Below are 23,191 nucleotides of genomic sequence, written 5' to 3'. Positions count from 1 at the left end.
CTTCCTCTCCTGTGATCTCCATTCATCATCTGTCCATCTTCACCGGCATCTTTTGAAACCTGTCTTTCAGTGGCCGTCACTGCCTTTTCAGCATAAGACATGTTTGGGCCTCTCTTCCTGACTGTGTTTTTCTCCTTAAGCTGCCTGCATCTTTCTCTGGCCTTCCCCTCACCACCAAATTTCTTTAGAAAGTGGGCTGCCCCTGCTTCCTCTTCTTCACCTCCCAACCGAACTTCTGTAGCCCCCCTGTAAAGTGGTTTCCATTCCAGGCTTTGCACTGATGCTGGCAAGGACATCGGAATTTTCCATTTCAGTGGCCTTTGCCAAGTCCTCGCCTTCTGGTTGCCTTGACTGTGGGGACACCCCCTCCTTCTTAAAATTCCCTCCTCCTCTGTGACAGGGCCCTGTCCTGGATCTTTGCCAACATCTTGTGCGTCCTTCGAGGGTGGTTCTCCCACTAGAGATCCCCTGAATTAGGAGGCACCTGAAAGGTTTTCTCCTCTGTACCTTCTGCCTTGGCATCCCACCCACTCCTGTGATGATAATAGGTTCCTCTCTGCTGGTGGTAACGCTCAAGTCTTCATTTCCAAACTCTGCTTAGGTTGAGCAGCTGCACAGACACCACCCACATGGCTTCCAAACTTGATAGTCCTTCTCACTCTCCTTATCTGGTGTGGGTAGGATTGTGTCCCCCACCCCCCTCAAAAAATATGTTGAAGTCCTAACTCCTGCTACCTATGAATGTGGCCTTATTTGGAAGTAGGGTCTTTGTAGGCATAATCGAGTTAAGATGAGGTCATACTCAATGAGGGTAGGCCCCAGTCCAATGTGACTGGTGTCCTTATAAGAAGAGACACAGACATACACACACAGAGAGGACACCATGTGATGACGGAGGCAGAGATGGAGTGATGCATCTGCAAGCCAAGGAACGTCAGGATTGCAGGCTGAAAAAAGGATCTTCCCCTAGAGCATTCAGAGAAAACATGGAAAACACGGCCCCGCCCACACCTTGACTTTGGACTTCTCAGCTCCAGAACTGTGAGAGAATAATTTCTGTTGTTTAAAGCCACCCACTTTGTGGTACTTTGTTCTGGCAGCCCCAGAAAACCAATACATCACCCGATCTCTCCAGTTCCCTATGGGACTCACTATCCTTTTAGGGATCCAAGCTGAAAGTCTCAGGATCAACCCTGAATCTCTCCCTCTTGCCTTAATACCCAGCTTTTCATTTCTGCCTCAGGTGAGTATGCAGTCCCCACCTCTTCCCTAATCAAGTATGGTCGCCCTGACTCTGCCCTCTTCAGTCTCCTATCTGTCCATCCAGCTGCCCTCTGGACAATTTTCCTAAAACAGCTCTGATTGTGTCACCATCATCGTAGCACACTTTGTCTGTTTCCCTCCTGCCTCCAGCAGTTGGCTGCATATTGGAATTACCTGGGGAGATTTGAAAGCTCTCATGCCCACCACACAACCCCATCTGTCAAATCAGAATCTCTGGAGGTGATGCCCCAGCATCAATATTTTAAAAACTTCCCCTATGATTCCAGTGCACAGCTAGGCCTGAGAACCATTTGCTGATAGAATATCACAATAGCCAGACAAAGCTTACGGAAGAAAAGATAGCTCTAAGGCAATGGTTCTCAACTGGGGATGATATTACCCTCCAGGAGACACTTGGCAGTGTTTAGAAACATTTTAGGTCATCAGAACCGGGGTGGTGCTCCTGGGCATCTACTGAGTAGAGGCCAGGGATGCTGTTACACATCCACAATGCCCAGGACAGCCTCACAATAATGATCCAGCCCCAAACATCACTAGTGCCAAGGTGGAGCAATCCTGATTTAAGAGCGAGGAGAGGAGCAGCAATACCGACCTTGACTTTGGGACAGACAGATGCAGTAGACACCAGTGCTGAGGAGGCACATGCCCCCTCATGCCGCAGTACTGCCTGTGCTGTGCCCATTTGGCAGCCCAGTATGTTGAAACTTTTCATGCAGCACCAGTTTCCATCACAGGAAGCCTCAGCCTGCTGGTGCCAAACTTATTCTCTTGCTCTCCTTTTGAAAATGAGGTTCAGTGGAAGCTGGGTGCGGTGGCTCATGCCTAATCGCAGCACTTTGGGAGGCTGAGGCAGGCGGATCACTTGAGGTCAGGAGTTTGAGACCAGCCTGGCCAACATGGCAAAAACCCTTCTCTACTAAAAATACAAAAGTTAGCTGGGCATGGTGGCACACGCCTATAGTCCCAGCTATTTGGGAGGCTGTGGCAGGAGAATCGCTTGAACTCGAGAGGCAGAGGTTGCAGGGAGCCGAGATCATGCCACTGCACTCCAGCCTGGGAAACAGATCAGGACTCTGTCAAAAAAAAAAAAAAAAAAACCAGGTTCAGTGGAATGTTTTTGTCAGGAGAGAAAGGGTCATTACAACTCAAGTTGGCTTTTGCCAAACTCAGCAATCACTGTTTTGGTGGCTCCTGAGGCTCCTAATGAGGACACTGACAGTCGTTAAATAAACAAGTGATTAAGTTGAGAAGAGACTGGCTAACAGAGGTTCCATGTGTGCTCATTGTCATCGATGTTAGCCAGTTTCATGACAGTGACCTGCCTGGGCTCCACCTCTACCATTAAAGAGAAACACTAGCAATGACGGCTTATAGTTCACGTAGCTTTACCATTTATAAGCATTTTCCTATACACCAACCAGTTTGATTTGTCTTTTCAAGTCTTAGCTTTATGCAGTGTCATTTCCTATAAAGGAAAGTATAGCAAATATACAAGAGGTACTCAGAAAATACAAGAAGAAAAAAACTAAAAAGAGTAAGGGATCAAAAGATATTTTTTTAAAAACCCACATTGGATGAAAAATGAGAAATTTAATTCCGGTAATGGAGGACAAAGTCTTTGCCAAATTGATAAAGCTTTGGGAAATTCTGATTATGGAAAGGACCCAAATGTAGACAGTCACATTCTAAATTCCTGGCTCCATGCTATGTGTCCAGTTTCTGTGTTTTTAAATGTATGCAGCATTTTTAACATCACAGAATTATTAATATGTTGAATATCGTTGCTACTTTATATAAAAAGTATCTTTTCTGTCTACTATTTAAGAATTCTTGCTGTATTTATCATTCTGTTTTCTCCAAGTAGACAGAGGGCCGATGTATTTGATACCAGAACACATCTTTGATTTTGTCATGGGGAGCAGTGTGAAAATAGGAGTCACAAGACCAGGCGTGGTGACTCATGTCTGTAATCCCAGCACTTTGGGAAGCCAAGGTGGGCAGATCACCTGAGGTCAGGAGTTTGAGAACGTCTGGCCAATATGGTGAAACCCCACCTCTACTAAAAATACAAAAAAAAAAAAAAATTAGCTGGGCGTGGTGGCCCCACGCCTGTAGTCCCAGCGACTGGGGAGGCTGAAGCAGGAGAATCGCTTGAACCTGGGAGGCAGAGGTTACAGTGAGCCGAGATTGCACCACTGTACTCCAGCCTGGGCAACAGCGCGAGACTCCGTCTCAGAAAAAGAAAAAAAAAAAATAGGAGTCACTTAACACAAACTTATTTTAAGCACAATTTATTTATAATTTAGAAAAAAGAAAAATTGCTGTGTAATGGGGCTTGAAGAGAAAAAGAAATAAAATTTGTTGAGGGAGGTGTAGAGCTTGTTCTGGGTATTGATTTCCTTTGAGGGGCAATAAGGAAGGATTATGCCAGGGTGTTTCTTGTTGCTTAAATGTTCCATGAAACACCAAAATTGCAGAGGTATTAGTAGTTAGAAAGAATGTGGAAACATCCCTCCTTCTGATTAATGACTGCCCCCTGAGGAGTCCTTCAAAAGCCAGAAGAAACCTAAAATATCATCCTAGAAAGTTGGAAGGAGGCATTTGACAAAGTCTTTGCTAGCTATGTGACTAGGATAAGGATGTGTCAGTATATCATTATGCAACTTGATGAATTCTCGGTCAGCTGAACAGTCATAGTCATATTAGCATAGAATAGTGATTCGGGTCAGGCACGATGGCTCATGCCTGTAATCCCAGCACTTTGGGAGGCTGAGGCAGGCAGATCACCTGAGGTCAGGAGCTCAAGACCAGCCTGACCAACGTGGAGAAACGCCGTCTCTACTAAAAGTACAAAATTAGCCAGGGTGGTGGTGCATGCCTGTAATCCCAGCTACTTGGGAGGCTGAGGCAGGAGAATCACTTGAACCCGGGAGGCGGAGGTTGCAGTGAGCCGAGATCACGCCATTGCACTCCAGCCTAGGCAACAAGAGCAAAACTCCGTCTCAAAAAAGAAAAAGAAAAAAAAAGTGATTTGATTTCTGGCCTTTAATAAGTGCTTAATGAATCTTGGATGAATAAACGAATGAATGAACAAAGAAATGAAAGAATGAACCAGCCAACTGACCAGGACGATGTCCATAGAGGTCTACATGGGATTCCCTCACCTTGGTCTTGTTGTGTTCAACATTTCTATCAATGATTTGAATCCCAGACACACAAAGCATATTTACTATACTTGGAAACAGAACAAATCTGGGAAGATCATTAATGTAATAGATCACAGAAGAAAAATCCAATATGATCTTGCCAGGTTAAAAACAGGGCCAAGATGTACAGGCATCAGCCAAAGCCCTATGTATGAGTTTAACATGTCAACTGGACCTTGGGAGCCTCCTATTTTGAGGGTGATCGTGAAAGAGACTGGGAAGTGTTATATCCTTCCCCATCATTCAGCCTTCTCACAGAAGTTCCAAAGGCTATTTGGTGGTAAAACTCCTTTCTGCTTGCTAGTCCTCATCCTTTTTCCTCCTTTTATGGTATTTGACACTATTCTACACTGTTAACTTGATGCCCTTCACAGAACCTTTCTCGAATTTCATGATTCCACTTTGGTCTTATTTCCCTCGTTTTCTAATTTGTCCTTCTTTGTTTCTTTTACCCTCTTTTTAAAGTTTTTCCTTTACCTTTACATTTAAAAGGTAGTGTACCCTAAGCTCTAATCTTGGCATACTTGAAATCTGTATCTCTCCCTGGTTGTTTAACATTGATTTAAAATAGATTTTGTTGAGAACCCGCTATGTGCCCAGAAGTGTTCCAAGAGCTCTTAGAATACAGTGGAGAATAAGACAACAATTTCTGCCTTTAAGGAGCCTGTATTCTAGGAGGATGGGAAGTGATGAACAAATAAGTGAATAACAGTGTTGAGTCGTGGTTAAAGCTATGATGAAACTCAAATCCAGATTAAGGGGACCAGGAATGTCAGGGCTGCTATTTTAGACAAGAGTCAGGGAGAGTCCCCTGAGAAGATGGCATTTGAGCAGAACTGGGCTTCTTGTACTCCCAGGGCTGCCTCCACACTGAAGACTCCCGGATGCTGCTCTCTGGCCAGCTCCTCTCTTCTGGAGCCATATTCCTGAATGCCTCTTAGTCCCTGCAGGATGTCCTAAGAGCACCTTCAACCACGCTTGATAATCTCCCCTACCAAACTTCTTCCTTCTCTTTGGTTCCCCATATTGGTTCCCAGCATGACCATCTCCTCACTCACCCAAGCTAGAAACTCTAGCCTCCCCTTCAAATCCTCCTCCACCCCTACTCATACAGATCCAATCCAATGACATCTGGGTCCTCACTTCCTCCCCGTGCCATAGTTCAGGTTCACACTATCTCTTACTGGTACTGTTGCAGGAGACTCCTGACTAGTTTGCCAGCCTCTAGTCTCATACTCCACCCACCCTGTCTTCCACGTTACCAATAGAATGACCTTTGTAAAGCACGATCAGCTCTGCTCTTGAGCCTTCTATCTCTACCTACTGCCTCTAGGGCTAGCAAGGTGTTCAACCTACCTGGTTCCCAACCTACTGGCTCAGCCATCTCCCTTCAGTCCCTCTGTCAGAAAAATCACTTCCTGACCCTTTGACAGTACCCTCTTTTTCCTCTCATATGCCCTTCAGTTTTTCCTAGAACTCTTTCCGTTCCTCTTTCCTGCTTTTCCCTTCCCTACCCTACCCAGCAGGTTTCTAAGCATTACTGCAATAGCCAACTCAACTCTGCAAAGCTTTTTTCAAATTCTCTTCCCCCTCCATCCATTTTCTTTGTTGTGATGCCATAGTGCTTGTGGCAGGCAGGAGCACCCTGTTTTAGAAGAGTTTTCTGTGTCCCATTAGCCGTGGGTTACCTGGAGACAGGCATCGTCACTTGTGCATGTCTGTGCTGCTTGTAGATGTTGGCACTAGGGAGGTTACTTCATGCATGTTTACTGAGCTGGCTGCAATTATACAGAAGACTTACAAACATATAAGTCAAACCACGTGAAACTGCTGTTCTTCTTGGTCAATATCAGCAATTTCATATGTTTATTCTAATCTGTTTTGTTCAGTATTTTGTATTCCTGTTTTGGCTTTCAGAAGTGTTCTTACCTTCAACCAGACTGCCTTAGAGCATGGGGCTCAAAGAAATATTTTCAGCTCTGGAAGACATTTTCCATCCTACTTCTACATATAGAACTTTTCTGGCCAAAAATGGATGCATATCTCAGAAATGTAATAAGCAATACTCTTCTCTCTTCCTCTTGACAATTGTTTTTCAAATGGTTTATCATAAACATCAGTGAGATCTTGAGGCTGTTATAAAGTGATATAATGGTAATTTCTAGAATTGTAATACATTATCCTAGTGAAAAGAAAATGATGAAGTTGTGAATCAGGCAAAAGTGATGAATTGCTCATTTCCATGTAGTTTTTCAGGTGGAAAGTAGATGCAGGTATCAACTGGAGGATGTGTGAATATTTTGTCTAATGGTTTTGATCTCGATATAGAACTAGAGTTGTTCTTAAATTAAGAATGTCTTTCATATTCTGCCTTTTCACCAGCATCACTATTAAAATAATATTCTTAAGCAACAGCCAAAAAATTATTAGGATCTGCTGGTTCTATAATCAGATGTTTTTGCTGGACACTTTAAAAACCAATAACAGCTAATCACAGTGTCCTCTTTTGTGCTGAATTGAATTTTGTTTTGGTTTTAATTCTCATTTGAACTGCTGGGAAAGCAAGCCTGTTACATACCAACACTTGCCACCTTTCTATATTTGAATGGACCTAAGTAGTCTTTGCAAAAAATGTCTAAGACTGTCCTATCCGGACACACCATAGGGTTTTCCCATGGAAATAATTATATCACAAACGAATCTTTTTTCTAAAGTCTGTGGTTTTAGGCTGCCATACTTCTCAATCCCCTGACCAGGAGACAATAAAATTGGCTGGGGCCTTAATTTGAGGGAATACATATTTGATTGTGGGCGTGGTCTTCTAAGACAATGGTAAAGGGAAAAGCAAGATGTAAAATTAAACGTTGAAACAAGCTAAACTGGTTTTCAAAATCTTCTCGACTGTAACACATCTAGAAGTTCTAAATATAAGAAGGTTTGAGGGATTATCTAAAACCAAGGTATTAAAAGATCAGGTTTTTAGAAGATTTTGATTCAGTACCTTATACTTTTTTTTCAAGGAGTTGAGCAAGAAACCATCAAAACTTAGGAGAGTGATTTTAGGAGAGGGTGGTCTCCAACTTGTCTTTATGTTTGCTTCCAAGATAAGTGTTAAGCCCAACCAACTAGCAGACTATTCATGATCTGGGAATCCTATCAGTGGTCATCCCTGTATTTGACTTGAGTCTCTCTAATTTTTTATAGGGACGGCGAAGGCCAGTTGGTCAGCCAAATGCATAAAAAATGGTGCAGAAATTAGTGATGCTTGGAAACATGGCTCATAATCATGATAAAGGCTTATATGTTGGTATGGGTTGAGAATGTTGGCCTCATGGTATCTGGGTATGCAAGAAGGCAAATCATTATTGGTATACTAGCCTTTATGTTGAATATTTAGAGAGCTCTTGAAAACACCCCTTCGATTTGGAGTGAGGAATTCTAATGAGTAAAACTCCATGTAGAAATAACCATATCCGATTAAAAAACTATTTTGATTTTCATTCCAAGAAACTACCAAAATGTCAGCTCGATATACTTGTGAACATGTTATGCTTATTTTTAAATAAGGAAGGGTGCCTTTTTACAAATTAGGCTTGAGTTTCTCTTACTATCATATATATTAACTATAGACAAGGGAGTGGGTTCTAATAACAAATTGCTACATTGCTATCGTTAAATCCGTGTTTGAGTTTTCTTCCCTCTAATGTATTTTCTCCCCCTCTTTAATTTATATTTTTAAAAAGCAATGTACTTATCTAGAAATTGTATGAAAGACAAATATTTAAGAAAGTAAATAGAGACTATGGGCACGTCCTTTGAATATGTTTTGCCAGGGTCGAGGGGTAAATGAAATAAACTGATACATCATAAATGGACCACACAGGAAAGAAAGTGTCATGCCTATGCAAAGACATGCATTCTCCTTAGAGACGACATATATTGCTGTCGACCAACAAAGTCACGTGGTGGGAGGGGGCTCTTTTCTTTCTCCTTCACATCCCCTCCTCTGATGTCACAAATCTATTTTTTCCTGGGAGAATTAATTAGCATTCATTGGGTGTACTTGGCTAGAAGAAATGAGGTGGGGAGAAAGAGAGAGAGAGAGAGAGATCGAGATTGAGATCTTAAGAAAGAGAGCAAGGAGGAAGAGCCCGGTGGGGAGCAGGTCCTTCTCCCCCACCCCCCTACCCCCAACTCCCACTGGAGCCGCATTGAGACTGTAGGCACCACCGGGCGCCGAATGGCTGTTTTCTAACTGGGATCCTCGGTGACGTATGGCTGCCTGCCCCTTGGCAGCTGTCTTTATGGACCAGTAGGCAGAGCGAAATTGACGCTGACAAGACTTTTGCATCTTGGAAGGGACTGTAATCTACTGTAGTGAAGAACAGAGCCTCTCAATCAGACGGGTGTAAATAAGAGACGGAGGGGAGTCCAAAAGAAAAGGAAGAGGAGGAAAAACAAGTGTGTGTTGGGGGGAACAGGGGGAAAAGCATTTTTGGTGGATGGTATGAAGCCAGCCATGGAAACTGCAGCCGAGGAAAATACTGAACAAAGCCAAGAGAGAAAAGGTACCCAGCGCTCTGACAATAGCCTGTTTAAAGCTTTTCACTGGGGGGTGCTTAAAAAGGGTTAGCTGGGTTTTGTCTCTCTTTTAAAATGGCTCTGAGACAATCCCTATGGCATGGTCTTGCTTTCAGGGTTGATTTTTTTCCTGTGGGCTGATGTTAAGTTAATAGAGCAGCCTTTCTTCAATCCATTCCTGTTCCAAATCTTTCTACCGACGTGATATTTCATAGAGGGATGTCTATAGTTTGTCACCTTGGGCTGATGCATTGGGGAAACTGTCTTTTTTTATTAATATAATTAATCGTAACTTAGGTCTTGTGTCCTGCATGTTATATTCCAGGAACGTGGAATGTGTAGTTTTCTGCTAATGCTGAGGAGGAACTGGAGGGGCATGCATGTTAATTCTGCTTTGGTTCCGCTAATGCTGTAGTGATTTGGGCATTCTCTAATTTTCTTATTCTAATATGATTGCTCTTTCTTGTATCAGGCCCTGACTACGACATGTAATAATCATTTACAGTTGGAGCTTCAGAGAGGGGACATCAGCTCTGTCACCCAGTGCTGATGGAAAGGCAGGGCGGGGGATCTTCTGCTAATTATGACTTGGAGACTGGGGGGAAGAAAATTGATAAAGGTCCTATTTCTTAAAGAGAATCTTAGAACGTACCACAATTTTCATATACAGAATGGTTTTTTGGAGAATAAAGTGTTTTTGCAGTAAGAAAATGGCAGAAAGGAACTAAAATTAATCTCTTTTTTCTAAATAATGACTGATTTCAAGTTTGATGTCCCATAGAATCGGCTCAGCCACTGTTAGGTTAATGGATCTCACTGCATTGTAATTTTCCCTCACTCAAAGTCATAGACTGTCATAAATGCCCAAAAACATATTCTGTAACCGCAGTGGCTCTAATATAAAAAGCCATCATGCTAAGGTTATTTCTCACAGCCCTTGCGTCCACTGATAGTCACTAAAGAGTAATTCGCCAGTACGGGGACAAAACTTCGTTTTATTTATAAAGATACAGGCTGAACCATATGAAATTGCTGATAGTCAACCATTTTAAACCTACAAAAACGGCAATTACATGTACTTCAGCTTCACAGTATGCTGGGGTAAAGACTGCTTGTTTTTATATAAAATTTCTTTGGTACACAATAATATTTTATCCTAAACAGAGCAATTTTACTTTTTAAATTAATTTTTTTAGGTATCACACAATACACATAACATAAAATTTACCATTTTAAGTATACGATTCAGTGGCATTAAGTACATAGCACCTTAATTTTAAAATCGTTTGTTTAGTTCAATCCTCTTACCAAATCTACACCTCCCCACCAAAAACCCAGCCTGTATTTTCTTGTGTGTCTTTAAAAAAAAAAAATCTTCATCAATGACCAAATAGCTATAAGAGAAGCTCTTGGGAATATTTATCAAGATGAAGAAGTGAGATCAAAGTTTTTTCCATGATGACTAGAGACTAAGTTGATTGCATGTTGTCGGGGTATGATAATGTAATAGCATTGTCCCAAGGAAGCCTATCACGATTTTATCCTAAAATGATGATTTTACTTAGTACATACTTTTAATTTTTATTAATGTGGTATTCAACCATGGCAGATAAAACCGTTTTGGTCTTTGCAAAAAAATCCCTTTTTTAAATTTCTCTCTGAAAGGAAGCAAAGGTCATATAACCAATATAAAATCATTACTACACAACTGTGTATCTTATCACTTAGTCTTATGGACTGCTATTATTTTATGTCAATTAAATCTTATTTAATAACAGATCTACAGGTTGCTAGTACATCCCTGACAACCCGTATATGAAAAGTCATTAGTTGTGATTTTAGAGACAAAATTAGAAGCAAAAGATAATTTGTGAAGGAACTTTAAAAATTACCTAAATGTATAAACACTAGCTGCTTGTTAAATAATTCAAAAATATCACACTACCAGAAGCTAGTGTGACATGTATGGTACATGCTTGAATAAGAATACAAGCCAGGGGATTTGTTTTTCCTGATCTACAGCAAGAGGGGTTGTGATTGTTGTGTGACCCACCATAATTGTTGATCTGGAGGGTGGCTTATCTAATCTGCATTTAGATGAACAAGTTCATATGCTGGCTACACAAAATCAAAGCCCACACAAGACACTTTGTAGTTTCCCAATTTGCTCACCCATCATCATTAAGGTACACATAGGATAAAATGATAGCCACAAATGTTTCTGCGTGATTGTCACATCAGTATTCCTTCAGATTTAACTTTAAGTTTATTAAAAAATTATTTTTCCATTGAAATTAACATTTGAAAACTTGACATAATTATTTATAGAATGTGTTATATAATTCTTGAGCTGGTGGATCCGTTTTTTATGTTTTTCTTTTAAGCCTTTCAGCAAAGGATTTTATTCATTAAATTTAATCCTGTAAATTTTGTCACTTTACGCAGAGTTTTTTATGCACATATATATTTTTTTTCCTGTGTTTCTCCTTTCCCATCTGTTTTCAGTGGTTGGTGATGGAGTGATGCCTGTCTCTTAATTTGGGGCATTATTGCCCAATGGCTAATACCCAATAGCATGTGAATTAATATCTTTGGATAATTATTGCAGTGTCTATTAAGAACTAAGAATGTAAATTAAACTTAGCTTTATAAATTGACCTTGCTTTTCTAGTTGGGATCTTTCCTGGGAGTTTCAGCGGGACAACACAACCCAGCTATTGTGATTCACTAACTCCTACAAAGAGAGCTCTTTCTTTAAACTTAATCACAATGACTTTGTTTCTACTTTAGACAAAATTAATCCATGTCCTTAAAAAAGGAAAGCATTTGTGTTTTTTCAGTCTGATAGTTTTCATCACAGCATGCTACCAGATACCAAAATTCACAAGAGTATTTAGTAGATATTTAGGGATTTTTAAGGAAAACAAGCAGATTTTCTTAGATGGATGTAAGAAATGCCAAATTATTACAAATGATAGTTTTTAAATTAAAAGCATTAAAGTGTGAAGATTGAGTAAGCAGATTCACTGACATGGAATAAGCAGAGGAAATGAATAAGACAGAATCAAAAGAAATAGATCATGGAACCCAATAATAAAAAGATGGAGAGTCGGTTTCCATTGATTTCAGTGGAGTATTACTTGTTGTCATTTCATTTGTGAAAATAAATGCATCTGAAATTGCTGAGAGTGGATAATCACTGAGTAGAAAAACAATTGAATCATAACAACTTTGTATGCTCTATTATGGGGGAAAAATCTATCTGTTATGAAAATTATTTTCATTATATGTAGGTAATTGAATTCTACTGAAACAATTATAGTCAGGTTAGTTAACTTCCTATGAATCGTTGCTGAAATAAATTACAGGCATCAAATTAAATTCCTAACCACACAGGAAGAAAAATATAGTGAATGGGAAACAATGTGTAATTTAAAATAAATTACAGGATATAGTCAAAGTAAGAAATGAATTTAAATTATTGACTTCCTTAAAAAATTAATACATCTATTTTAATCTTTTTGATCAAATAGATATAATTTCTTATTTTTTTTTTTAATTTAGCAAAATGTATGCACTTTTGGCTCTCATTTTTCGTTTAGGAAGAAAAGCACTCCTCTAGAATATACGACTTGTGTGATTAAAAACCCAAAGGGACACATAACACACGTCACACTATTCCTGATGATCTGCGAATTATTGCATTTTGAAATTTGTGTTGACATTTTCTAACTTGGCTATATAAATATGGTACAGAGGAAGTTTTAGATGCAGTTATTATCTGTAAGAATTTGCCAAGGTGGACATCTGAAGAGTTGGTGTCTGGGGAATAGGCTGTAGAGAAAAGTGGCTGGCCAGATGGTGCGGAACATATGTGGTAGGTATGATACAGCTTCCTTTGATTTTTTTTTTTTTTTTTTAGAACATTTAAATGTGGAAAAGATCTCAACGAGCCATTTGGTACATCTTCTACTTTTACATTATTAATTCCATTAGGATTTTTTTAAAGACTTGGCCTTGCTATTTCGTTAGAAAAAGAATTCTGGGCCATTTCTGGAAATTTAGATTTGCCTTCCCTGAAATTGAGTGTAAACCCTGAATTAAGATTATTATGATTTTCAAGATCACATTTCTCTGTTATTTGGAAGTACAGGGTCAATTTAGACTAAATGATCTTAATAAAGTGACTTTGTCTTGATGTATCTGAGAACATGCAAAATAACCAGTGTCCCCATGACTTAAACTTCCCCTCTCTGTGACTGTGATGGATTGGATTGGATTGTTACAAAGACACTCTCGCTTTTTTCTCCTTTGGACCAAATGTACATACATGGGAGATAGTTGGCCAGGAGTAGGGATGGCCATGGAACGGAGGAAGAAAGTGACCACACCGACTGTTTTTAAGAGAGGAAGGTTACAATCCCAGTTTCACAAATGTGCTTTGTTGTTCATTCATTTATTCGTTTAATGGTGTTCTCTGCCGGGTGTGGTGGCTCACGCCTGTAATCCCACCACTTTGGGAGGCCGAGGCGGGCGGATCAAGAGGTCAAGAGATCGAGACCATCCTGGCTAACATGGTGAAACCCAGTCTCTACTAAAAATACAAAAACAAAATTAGCCGGGCGTGGTGGTGTGTGCCTGTAATCCCAGCTACTCAGGAGGCTGAGGCAGGAGAATGGCGTGAACCCGAGAGGCGGAGGTTGCAGTGAGCCGAGATAGTGCCGCTGCACTCCAGCCTGGGTGACAGAGCGAGACTCTGTCTCAAAAAAAAAAAAAAAAAAAGAAAGAAAAGAAAAGTGTTCTCCTTTGAAATGTCATTCTTCCTCTGTCCCTTCAGCTCACGTTACAGGAGTACAGGGGTGCTAAGTCATCGTAGGGACCATTAGGGGTAGTATAATCTTGGTTTTAATAATAATTTTGCTGATTGGTGGCAGATTAAATAGCAGACAAAATGCCATAGACGAGAATTTTGATCCTTAGCCAGCTGAGTGATATTTCTCGTCAAAGAGTGTATAAGAGAAAATGTAATAATTTCCTATTTGATAAGCTGATTTTATCAATTGCATTAACTGCTTTATGTAGCCAAGCCTTATTATGCTGTATTTAAAATCAAGGGTCAACACACTTTTTCCGTAAAGGTCAGATAGTAAGTATTTTAGGTGCTGCAGACCACTCAGTGTCTGTTGTAACTATTCAAATCTGCCACTATAGCATGAAAGCAGCCCTAGATAGTATGTAAACAAATGGGTGCAACTGTGTTCCAATAAAACCTTATAAATAAAAACAGATGGCTATAATTTACCAACCTTTACTATATTTATAGCATTGTTATGGCATTCCTTAATATTTTAAATAATAGCTAAAAATGAAAGATAACAAATATAGCTTTGAAAGACCTTGCTCAGTGAATATGGTCTTTCTTGGAAGCTCAGTGTTTGTCACTTAGTTGCTTCCGGTGATAATTTCCTAGGTGCTAAGAAGCATGACAGTCTGAAGTTCATTTGTTCAGCCTTCTCGCTAAATTACATTAAATAAGTAAATGGGGAAAAATAAACAAGGCATTGTTTTGCTTTCCTTTTTGCAATTTCCCCTTGTTTCATGCCCACCTTTGGCAATGACCACTCACAGCTGTGTCTGTCTTCATAAGCCACCACTGGTCACCTCATCTCTATCTTCACTCTCTTAGGGGGAACATTTTGCAGTTTTCCCTCTGCAGGGCATAAACCATTTTCCCATTTCTTGCCAGGTGCCCAGAATCAAGACATTTTAAAAGACCTTTTGAGCCAAGGCATCCTCTTGGAATCCTGTGACTGCCTTTTAGGTGTTGGGATCCTGTCCTTGGGATTAAAATGTATACTGTGTTTTTTGAAATTTTATAAATAACTTTATATTTAATGCCTTTATTTAAATTTGGCTCAAAAATATAAAATAGAAGTGATTTTTCTTTTCTTTCATATCTAAAGATTTACTGTTGTAAAAAGGCCCCTCCAGAAGTGTAAGTCCAGGGGATTTGGAACACATCCATCCAGTTGCCGATCCCATCGGTGTGTCTTCTGGATCTATTCTTTTTTTTTTTTTTTTTTTTTAAATCCTGAATTAAGGGTCTTAGGCATGGCTGCCATGTTTTTCTCAGAAAACACGTTAACATTGAGCAGTCCATGGTTTTTCATTGTCATTGCCTAGCAGCCTATGCTTGCTTGCCTGAACATCTGGAGACTTACCCCATCCATATGAGGAGATGAGCACAGAGCATGGATGAATCTTCTGCAGAGATACCCTGAATTGCATGGCCTGGCTTGGGTAAAAGTCAGCATGGTGGGGGATCTAGAGGTCCATTTCTGGTCCACAGGGTCCCAGGGTGCTCCCTTCCTTTCAACCAAATATTTATTCAGCCAGCGTTTATTGGGCACCTGTGTGCTGAGTATGTAGAGACAAATTTTTTAAAAGGATAAAAATTTCCAGATCAAAAGTGATAGAACTACTTAGAATCCTCTTGCTTAGGGGTCTATGTGGAGGGCTCATAGCCCCCTTTACCAAGAGGAAATCAGATCATACCATGAAGTGCCTTGACCTTCTGTTTTTTTTCTGTCAGCCCCACTGGGTTTTCTTGCCTTTGGAGAATGTAGCAACATCTATTTCTGAGAGAGAATCTCCTGAACAGTAAAGCAAAAATCTAAATCTGTTTTTTGGGGGTTTTTTTTCTTTCTTTTTTTGAGACAGAGTCTCACCCTGTCACCCAGGCTGGAGTGCAGTGGCATGATCTCAGCTCACTGCAACCTCCACCTCCCAGGTTAAAGTGATTCTCCTGCCTCAGCCTCCAGAGTAGCTGGGACTATAGGCGTATGCCACCATGCCCGGCTAATTTTTTTTTTTTTTTTCCTGAGATGGAGTTTTACTCTTTTTTTTTTTTTTTTTGCCCAGGCTGGAATGCAGTGGCGCGATCTCAACTCACTGCAACCTCCATCTCCTGGGTTCAAGCAATTCTTCTGCCTCAGCCTCCTGGGTAGCTGGGACTACAAGTGTGCGCCACTATGCCCAGCTAATTTTTGTATTTTTAGTAGAGACAGGGTTTCACCATGTTGGCCAGGCTGGTATCAAACTCCTCACCTCAGGTGATCTGGCTGCCTCGGCCTCCCAGAGTGTTGGAATTACAGGCATGAGCCACCACACCTGGCCAATTTTTTAATTTTTATTTTTTATATATTTTTTTTATTTTTAGTACAGACAGAGTTTCACCATGTTGGCCAGGCTGGTTTTGAACTCCTGACCTCAAGTGATCCGCCCGCCTTGGCCTCCCAAAGTGCTGGGATTACAGGTGTGAGCCACCGCACCCAGCCCACAAAAATCTCAATCTAAGGAAGACTGAAAGTTAAGAAATTTTAAGAAGCCTGAGATAACATCAGTAGCTTAGGACCTGGACCGTTTCTTTAGGAGACACAGAAGCACAACTCAACTGCAAATGCACCTCAGAAAAACTCTCATTGGGTTAACTGTTGCCTCAGCAGAAGAGTAGAAAATTGCAATACATGCAGAGGTCACAGTAGGATGTATGGTGGTTTCCAAAGTGTGCCCTCTTGAGTGAAATTGCTAAGGTTCACATTCAGGCTTCTCTACCTCCTGGCTGAAAGATCTTGGGCAAGTGATCATTACCTTCTCCTTGCCCTTGGGTTGTTCCCTTGTAAAAATGGAATAATAATAGTACCTATTTCAGAGGGTGGTTGTGACAAATGTAATAAGTACCACATGCTGAGTGCAGTGCATAGTACATCATAAGCACTCCATAAATTTTTGCTGTCATCATCATTGACCACAAAAATAGTTTCATTGTGCAGTTCTGATCTTATCCCAGCATCTTTTCTGTACCTCCCTACCCTGGTTTTAAATGAGTTATGTATACCTTACCTTGAAGTCAAAAAGATTTTTTCTAAAACATTCTAGAAAAGCAGGTTTCTGCTTCCAAACTTGAAATACCTTACAAGTTTTCAGAGATTGTGGAGAGTGGAGTTGGGATTTTATAAAGGCTTTGTGAGGTTTTACTTGCCTCACACTGTGGCTTTAGTAGGTTCTTCTCCTCAGAGACCTGAGCTGCCAGATGGTGCATTATGACCTGATCTTCTGATGGAATCATTACCCACATCAATGGCACAATTTTTTTTTAATCCTTAAATATTTGTGGTGCCCCAGAGGATATAACCCCTTATTAGGTTTTATGGGATTCTCGGAGATAAACTGGCCATAGCGACCTTATGATCTCTTTGAGATTTCAAGATTGTAATTCAACTAACTTTTATGAGAAGCCTACTCTGTGCCAGGCAAATTGGTAGGTATTTTTCTTTGCAATCCCCTAAGAAGTGGGAAATATTGTATCATATTACCAGATAGAGACCTGAGTCCTCAGGGAGTGCCAGCTGTCACCATGTGTGTAATTAAGCAGTGGTTCGAGCCCAAGACCAGTAGCCCTTTCTGTATAGCACATGGGAGAAAATTGGAACAGGATTTAATCCAGAACATTCTAGACTCTGACGTTCTGAGTTTAAGATAAGGTGACAGACAATACTGCAGACGTCAATGGGAGGACAAGCATTTCATCCAAGAAACAGCAGACCATTAGGTTGTTTGCCAGGTTTTCTGGACTAGAGCTGGGTACCCTTACAGAGAGGGAGCCTGCGTTCACCTTTGCTAGTGCAGCTGGCAATAATTATAGTGCTCTGTTAGTGCTCTGTTGGTCTGAAAAGGAAACAGAAAGAAAAATATTATTGTGAGGAGCCAAATTTTCACTATAAATAGTATCTTCCCCAAATGAGCATTTTAAGAAGCAGGATATGGTGTGTGTTGGGGGAAAGATGTAGAAAATAAAGATCATTTTGGTGATTTACATAAACTTCAATTTAGAAACGGAGGACATTCTCAATGGATCATGCTGGTACTGAAGGGTTGCATTTCAATAGCATATTTTTTAAACTCCCCATTTCCTTTCTATGGTAAAGAATAAATAAAAATGCTGATATAGAATCTTTGCTGGAGATAGAGACACTGACTCTTTGCCACCTGAAATTGGCAGTGAACAGCAGAGCTGAAATGGAAATTGGCAGGTACCACTGGATGTACCCAGGCTCAAAGAACCACCAGTACCATCCCGTGCCAACCCTGGGGGACAGGGCTAGCCCCTTGAGCAGTCCAGGTAAATACAGCCTTGGGGTGAATTCTAATAGCAAGTCAACTGTTATCTTTAATATTATTTGTAATGGCTCTTGCAGCTTGGTGATATTTTATGTTTTGCTTGGTGCATTAATTTGTTCACACGGGCATGGGTGGAATTCGCCCTATAAACATTTTTTAATCATCTTTCTTTTTCTCTCTCCCTCTCCATTCCACCCCATCTTTCTCCACTTTCTTCTCCTTCTTCCCTCTTCCCTCTTTCACCTTCAATCACTTCGTCTTCTCAAAGGGAACAATGTACAGTGAGATATGCCTTTGGTTAACCATGAAATTTCCAATGCCTGAACCAATAATGGGGGAGGGGGGCCACCCACATCCCCCATGTGGCCAAGAACTGGGCCAGGGCCTTCAAGGAGCCTTGGCCCTGAGAGTACTGTGAGTGTCCCCAAATGTCTTCCCAGCCCTGCTGCTCTGCACCACCCTCTCACCTCAGTCATTGCCTTTGAGAAAGAGAAATCAAAGCTGTGAAAGTAGGATTGGATAACCATGTACCCGATTCCCATCAGGTAGGTTCAGTGGGTCCGGTTTCCATTTTCCTTGCTCGTGAGGAACATTGGCCATTCAGAACCGCTAGGTGCTGGATCTGGGTGAGGTGTGCGACAGCTGATTTGGGGACCTAGAAGGGGCAAAAGGTGAAGCAGTATGAACATCCAACCTCCCACGTTCCCAAAACCAACACAAGTTGTAATGCCCAGCTCAGTTAGCTAAAACTCAGTGATTTTGCCAGTGTACAACCATAGTTCAAACTACATAAAATGCAGACATAAAGGGCTGGTGGTAGGTCGGATAAACACAGTAAGAGGCTTAAAGTATTTCTGTGATTTTGCATCAATCCATAACATTTCTCCCAAATGCTTGCTAACTTTTTCAGGAGTAAATGTAGCATGGTACAGCTCCAGAAAGGGCAATCCCAAGGTACAATGTAAGTTACCCATTGAATTACAAAGTCATAAAATCCATGATTAATAAAACCTTTTCCTTTAAAATCTAAATTGTGTTGTCAGGTTAATTAAAATGAAATCTGACGTTGGATTTAGTTCTGTCTTGGGTTATGCATTCCTTCATCTGTCCTATGGCTATCAGGTGTTGGTTCTGTGTGTGCCTGTGCAGCGCTGGCTAAATAGGGTGAGCATGAGGTGACATCAGCCATCCATTCTCATGGATCCTATAAAGAATATGGAGGGTTCTGGAATCTTGATTTAAAAAAAGTCATTAGACGTGATATATCCATACAATAGCTACTATTCAGCAATAAAAAGGAATGAAATATTTGTGCATGCTACAACATGGATGAACCTCAAAAACATCATGCTAAGTGAAAGAAGCCAGACACAAGAGACCAAATGTTCTACCACTCTGTTTATGTTAAATTTACAGAATTGGTGAGATAAGAAGTAGGTTAATGGTTGCCAGAGGCTGAGAGAAGGGAGGATTGGGGAGCAACTACAGATGGGTACAAGGGATCATTTTTGCTGTGATGAAAATGTTCTAAAATTAGATTGTGGCGATGGTCACACAACGCTGTACATTTACTCAAAGTCATTGAATTGTATACTTGAAACAGGTGAATTTTATAGAATATAAATTATATCTCAGTAAAGCTGCTTTTGAAAAAAAAAGCAGCAAAAAAAACCATGAGATGTGCATAATTCAAGGGTGGGGAGCGGGGAAAGGGGTATTTTTTAACATAACAAGAAGCCCCCAAGTTATCAGAAACAACTGCTTGAGGGAGGAGTCCCTCTTCATCTTAAGAGTCTTTAAGAGTCTTCATTTTAAGAGTGTTGAATGACATCAGGCCAGCTGGAAACCCAGAAAAATACTTATTCTTTTCTGTATTTTAGTTCACTAAACTGGTAAAGAATAAACACAATATCTTATTGGGGGGGAATAAAAGAAACCTCTATCAATTGCTCTTGAAGAGTTTTCTCCACTTGTTGAGCAGTTCCCTGTAAAAGCATTGCAATAATATTTGTGTGCTTTTGATCCTACGGTGAAACACCAGAATCTGGGCATTCATAGCAGCAGTGGCAGCTGAGAAGAAAAATACGAGGCTCCATTTTCTGTTTTTCTGAAACTGATTTCTTTCAGAATTCCAAAGAATTTGGGTTTCCAAAAGATAACATAGTGCATACATCATGTACTGCATGATACCACCACTGAGTGTCTCTGCAGATCTAACTCATTAATCTTTCTGGAGAGCCCAAGACTATAAACAACTCCTTGTCCATTCAGGTGAGATTTTGGCACCAAGGAAGAGGAGATCAGAACAGGTTTTGCTGCCAGATGAGTTAGGGGAGAAAAAAAAATTACTTTTCAAGTTTTTTGGAATTCCATAATGATATGATGAAAGATTGTGGAAGTCTAATAGTATCAGGTTGCTGGTGATACTACTGCAAGCGAGAATTCCATGAACTAACAGGTTCTTGCCTGAGGGGGAGAAACAAAATCACTGAATTTGATTTAAAGAATTATCTTCCCAGATCCTGAAACAATCTCCACCTACACATAGTTTTAACTTTTTGTGTGCATTGATGGAAATAATTGGAAAAAAGATGCCTCCACGGGGACTGTTAATGTCTGGAGCTGTCTGCAGAGACCTTATGTGTGATAGTGTAAAGCCTACAGCGCAGGCCACAGAGTGAAGGGACCCACTCTAGCCATGCCATCGCCTTTCCAGACACTTACAGATTTTGTTGGGTCCTAAATCAATGCCGTTGCCATTCTATACTTAGATCTCCAACCCCAACCAGATGGTATGAGGCAAAAAATAGGGAATTCTGTATGGCTCTTTTTTTTTTCTTTTTTTTTTTATTAATTTTTTTGCAGAGTTGTCAGCCTTTTTCCATGGGGGAAAAAGAGGTTTTGATACAGGCTGACCAGGAAATTTTTGCCAAAGGAAAATGCCTCTCCCACTCATGCAGTTACTGTAGCAGAGACTGCCCTTCTCCAGGAACTTCCTTATTCCCCATTGGAAAGGTCATGGCGGTTCCAGGGTCCTTTTCATGGTTTTCTTTTTCTTGCTACTACTTCCCAGTAGAATTCCATCTTTAGGGGTTAGATAGTTATTCTTTCCTTATCTCTTTTTCCTTTTCAATTTTTAGCTGCGTTGGACATGTAGTGTCCACATCTTTTCTGCCTTCAGGAGATGAAATGATGTATGACCACATGGGCTACCCCCGCCCCCCGCCCCCCCCGCCGTCCATGATGCTGCCCTAGGGGCCTGGCCTGAGGTGGTGGTCTGAGATGCAGGCAAGCGATGAAGCAGGGAGTAGTTCATGCTAAGTCTCCAGTCAGTGGCATATTGTGCTTAACATTGGAGGGAGCACTTCCAGACTGTTGTAGATTGTGTTACACAGGCTCCAGAGGATAGCCTAAGACAATCTAGATTCTCTATTCCAAGTGCGGGCTGTGGACCAGCAGAATCAACACCTCCAGGAGCTCGTTAGAAATGCAGAGTCCCAGGTCCCACCCAGCCCCACTGAATCAGAATCTGCATTTTCATAAGACTTCCAGGTAGTTCCTATGCACATTAAAGCTTGAGAAGCAGTAATTAAGAGCAAGGTCCAAGAGCAAGAAGGGAGAAGACAGGAAGGAATTGATTATGTGAATTTACCCTCAAGAGATCTAGAAATCTTTATCTTTGGAAAAGATAAAGAATTGCTCAAGGTATTCATCCTTTCTTCTTTCCGTTTCTATTTAGGAAGAGGCATGTCTAAGCAATGCCAAGGCAGTCATTAATCTGTTGAGTCCTGGCTGGTTTGAAAAACAGTGACCTTGCTTCTCTTACCTGCTTGTCTCATGAGGGGGTTTGGGGAAGGGGCAGTGAAGGTGAGAAAGGTTTGTTTCTTTGTGGCAAAGTGAGGGCCAGAGGAGAAAGTAGTTGATGGAAGCTTGGGAGAAATTCTCAAATGTCTCTCATCTCCCTCTTTAATATAATCCAATGACATGCAAGATGCCGTGACTAAATATAGGCTGCCATTTTTAGTGGACTAAGAATGGTTCTTTATATACAGTTAAATCTGTAATTCAGAATTCAGTCTCACAAGGAAGGAGTAGAATAACCACCCACTTCACATATCACCAATTTCCGCCTCTCAAATCCAAAATGCTCTGATGTTTCAGTTAAAATGGCCACAGATAATTCCAGAAGTCGGGACAAAGAGCACACCCTCTACATAGGGACTGTCACAGAGGATGTCGGGAGAGGAGGGCCCTCTGGAGTGTTGGTATTTAGCAAGAAGCCCAAGTGTTGTGATTTGCACCACAGAGAATGGATTCCTGAGTCGCCACGGGGTTGTGGGGTGGGGGCGGGTAGCAGACTGACGGAGGGCCCAGCACTGCTGTTAACTCATGTTGCACCTTGTCTGCCCAGATGTAACCACAGGCTGGCTCCTGGGAACTGCAGACTTTATCCCTTGGCCCCCTTCTAGGCTGAGCCTGGGACTTCTCTCTCACTGATCTGCTTTGTAGAGGGACACCTGTAGCTATAAGTCCTGGGAAATGCTACTGGATTTTTGTCATTGTTCTTTAGTGTCACTCTTTCCTAACCTAAGGTTGTAAGGCCACTAAGTTCGAGGTCTTCTCCCAAACCACTTGAAATGTATTTTAAGGGGGAAGAAAAACCCTTAATCCTTCTGCGTGTACCATTCCACCTCTGGCCATAGTTGGGTGTCGACCATAACTGACAGTCTGGTCGTGCCGTGTGGGTTCTGCTGGTGGTATCATTCTGTCCCCAGAGGCTGGTTGCAGAAGCTTTTGTAGCTTATCCAGCCTAAGCCAGTGGATGCTCTCAGTCTGTCTGATGCCTTCCAGTTACTCAAGATATTTCTGATTACATAGAGGTAAATGGTGAACACAGTGGAAGCACGTTGTAGCTCAGGCTCATGCCGTAAAGTCCCTGA

The 23,191-nt window shown here is 41.1% G+C and overlaps 1 protein-coding gene across 9 annotated transcripts in view; it reads left to right on the top strand.

The window, feature by feature from the left end:
- Positions 1-23,191, top strand: part of GPM6B (glycoprotein M6B) — a 167,700-nt gene that overhangs the window by 112,737 nt on the left and 31,772 nt on the right. For 3 of the 9 annotated variants that reach the window (XM_011545497.3, XM_017029432.2, XM_047442007.1), the window contains exon 2: positions 18,133-18,252. The exons of 2 other annotated variants lie outside the window; for them this stretch is intronic. In XM_011545497.3, coding sequence (XP_011543799.1) covers positions 18,133-18,252 — 120 coding nt within the window. Of the gene's footprint in view, positions 1-8,808; positions 9,059-18,132; positions 18,253-23,191 lie in introns of those variants that run through there. 4 more of the 9 variants (NM_001001995.3, NM_001001996.3, XM_005274489.6 and 1 more) reach the window with 2 other exon arrangements.

This window comes from Homo sapiens, chromosome X, assembly GCF_000001405.40.
Source record: "Homo sapiens chromosome X, GRCh38.p14 Primary Assembly".
NCBI lineage: Eukaryota > Metazoa > Chordata > Mammalia > Primates > Hominidae > Homo > Homo sapiens.
The sequence above is the reverse complement of the archived record's forward strand: the minus strand, read 5'-3'. Positions and strand labels throughout refer to the sequence as shown.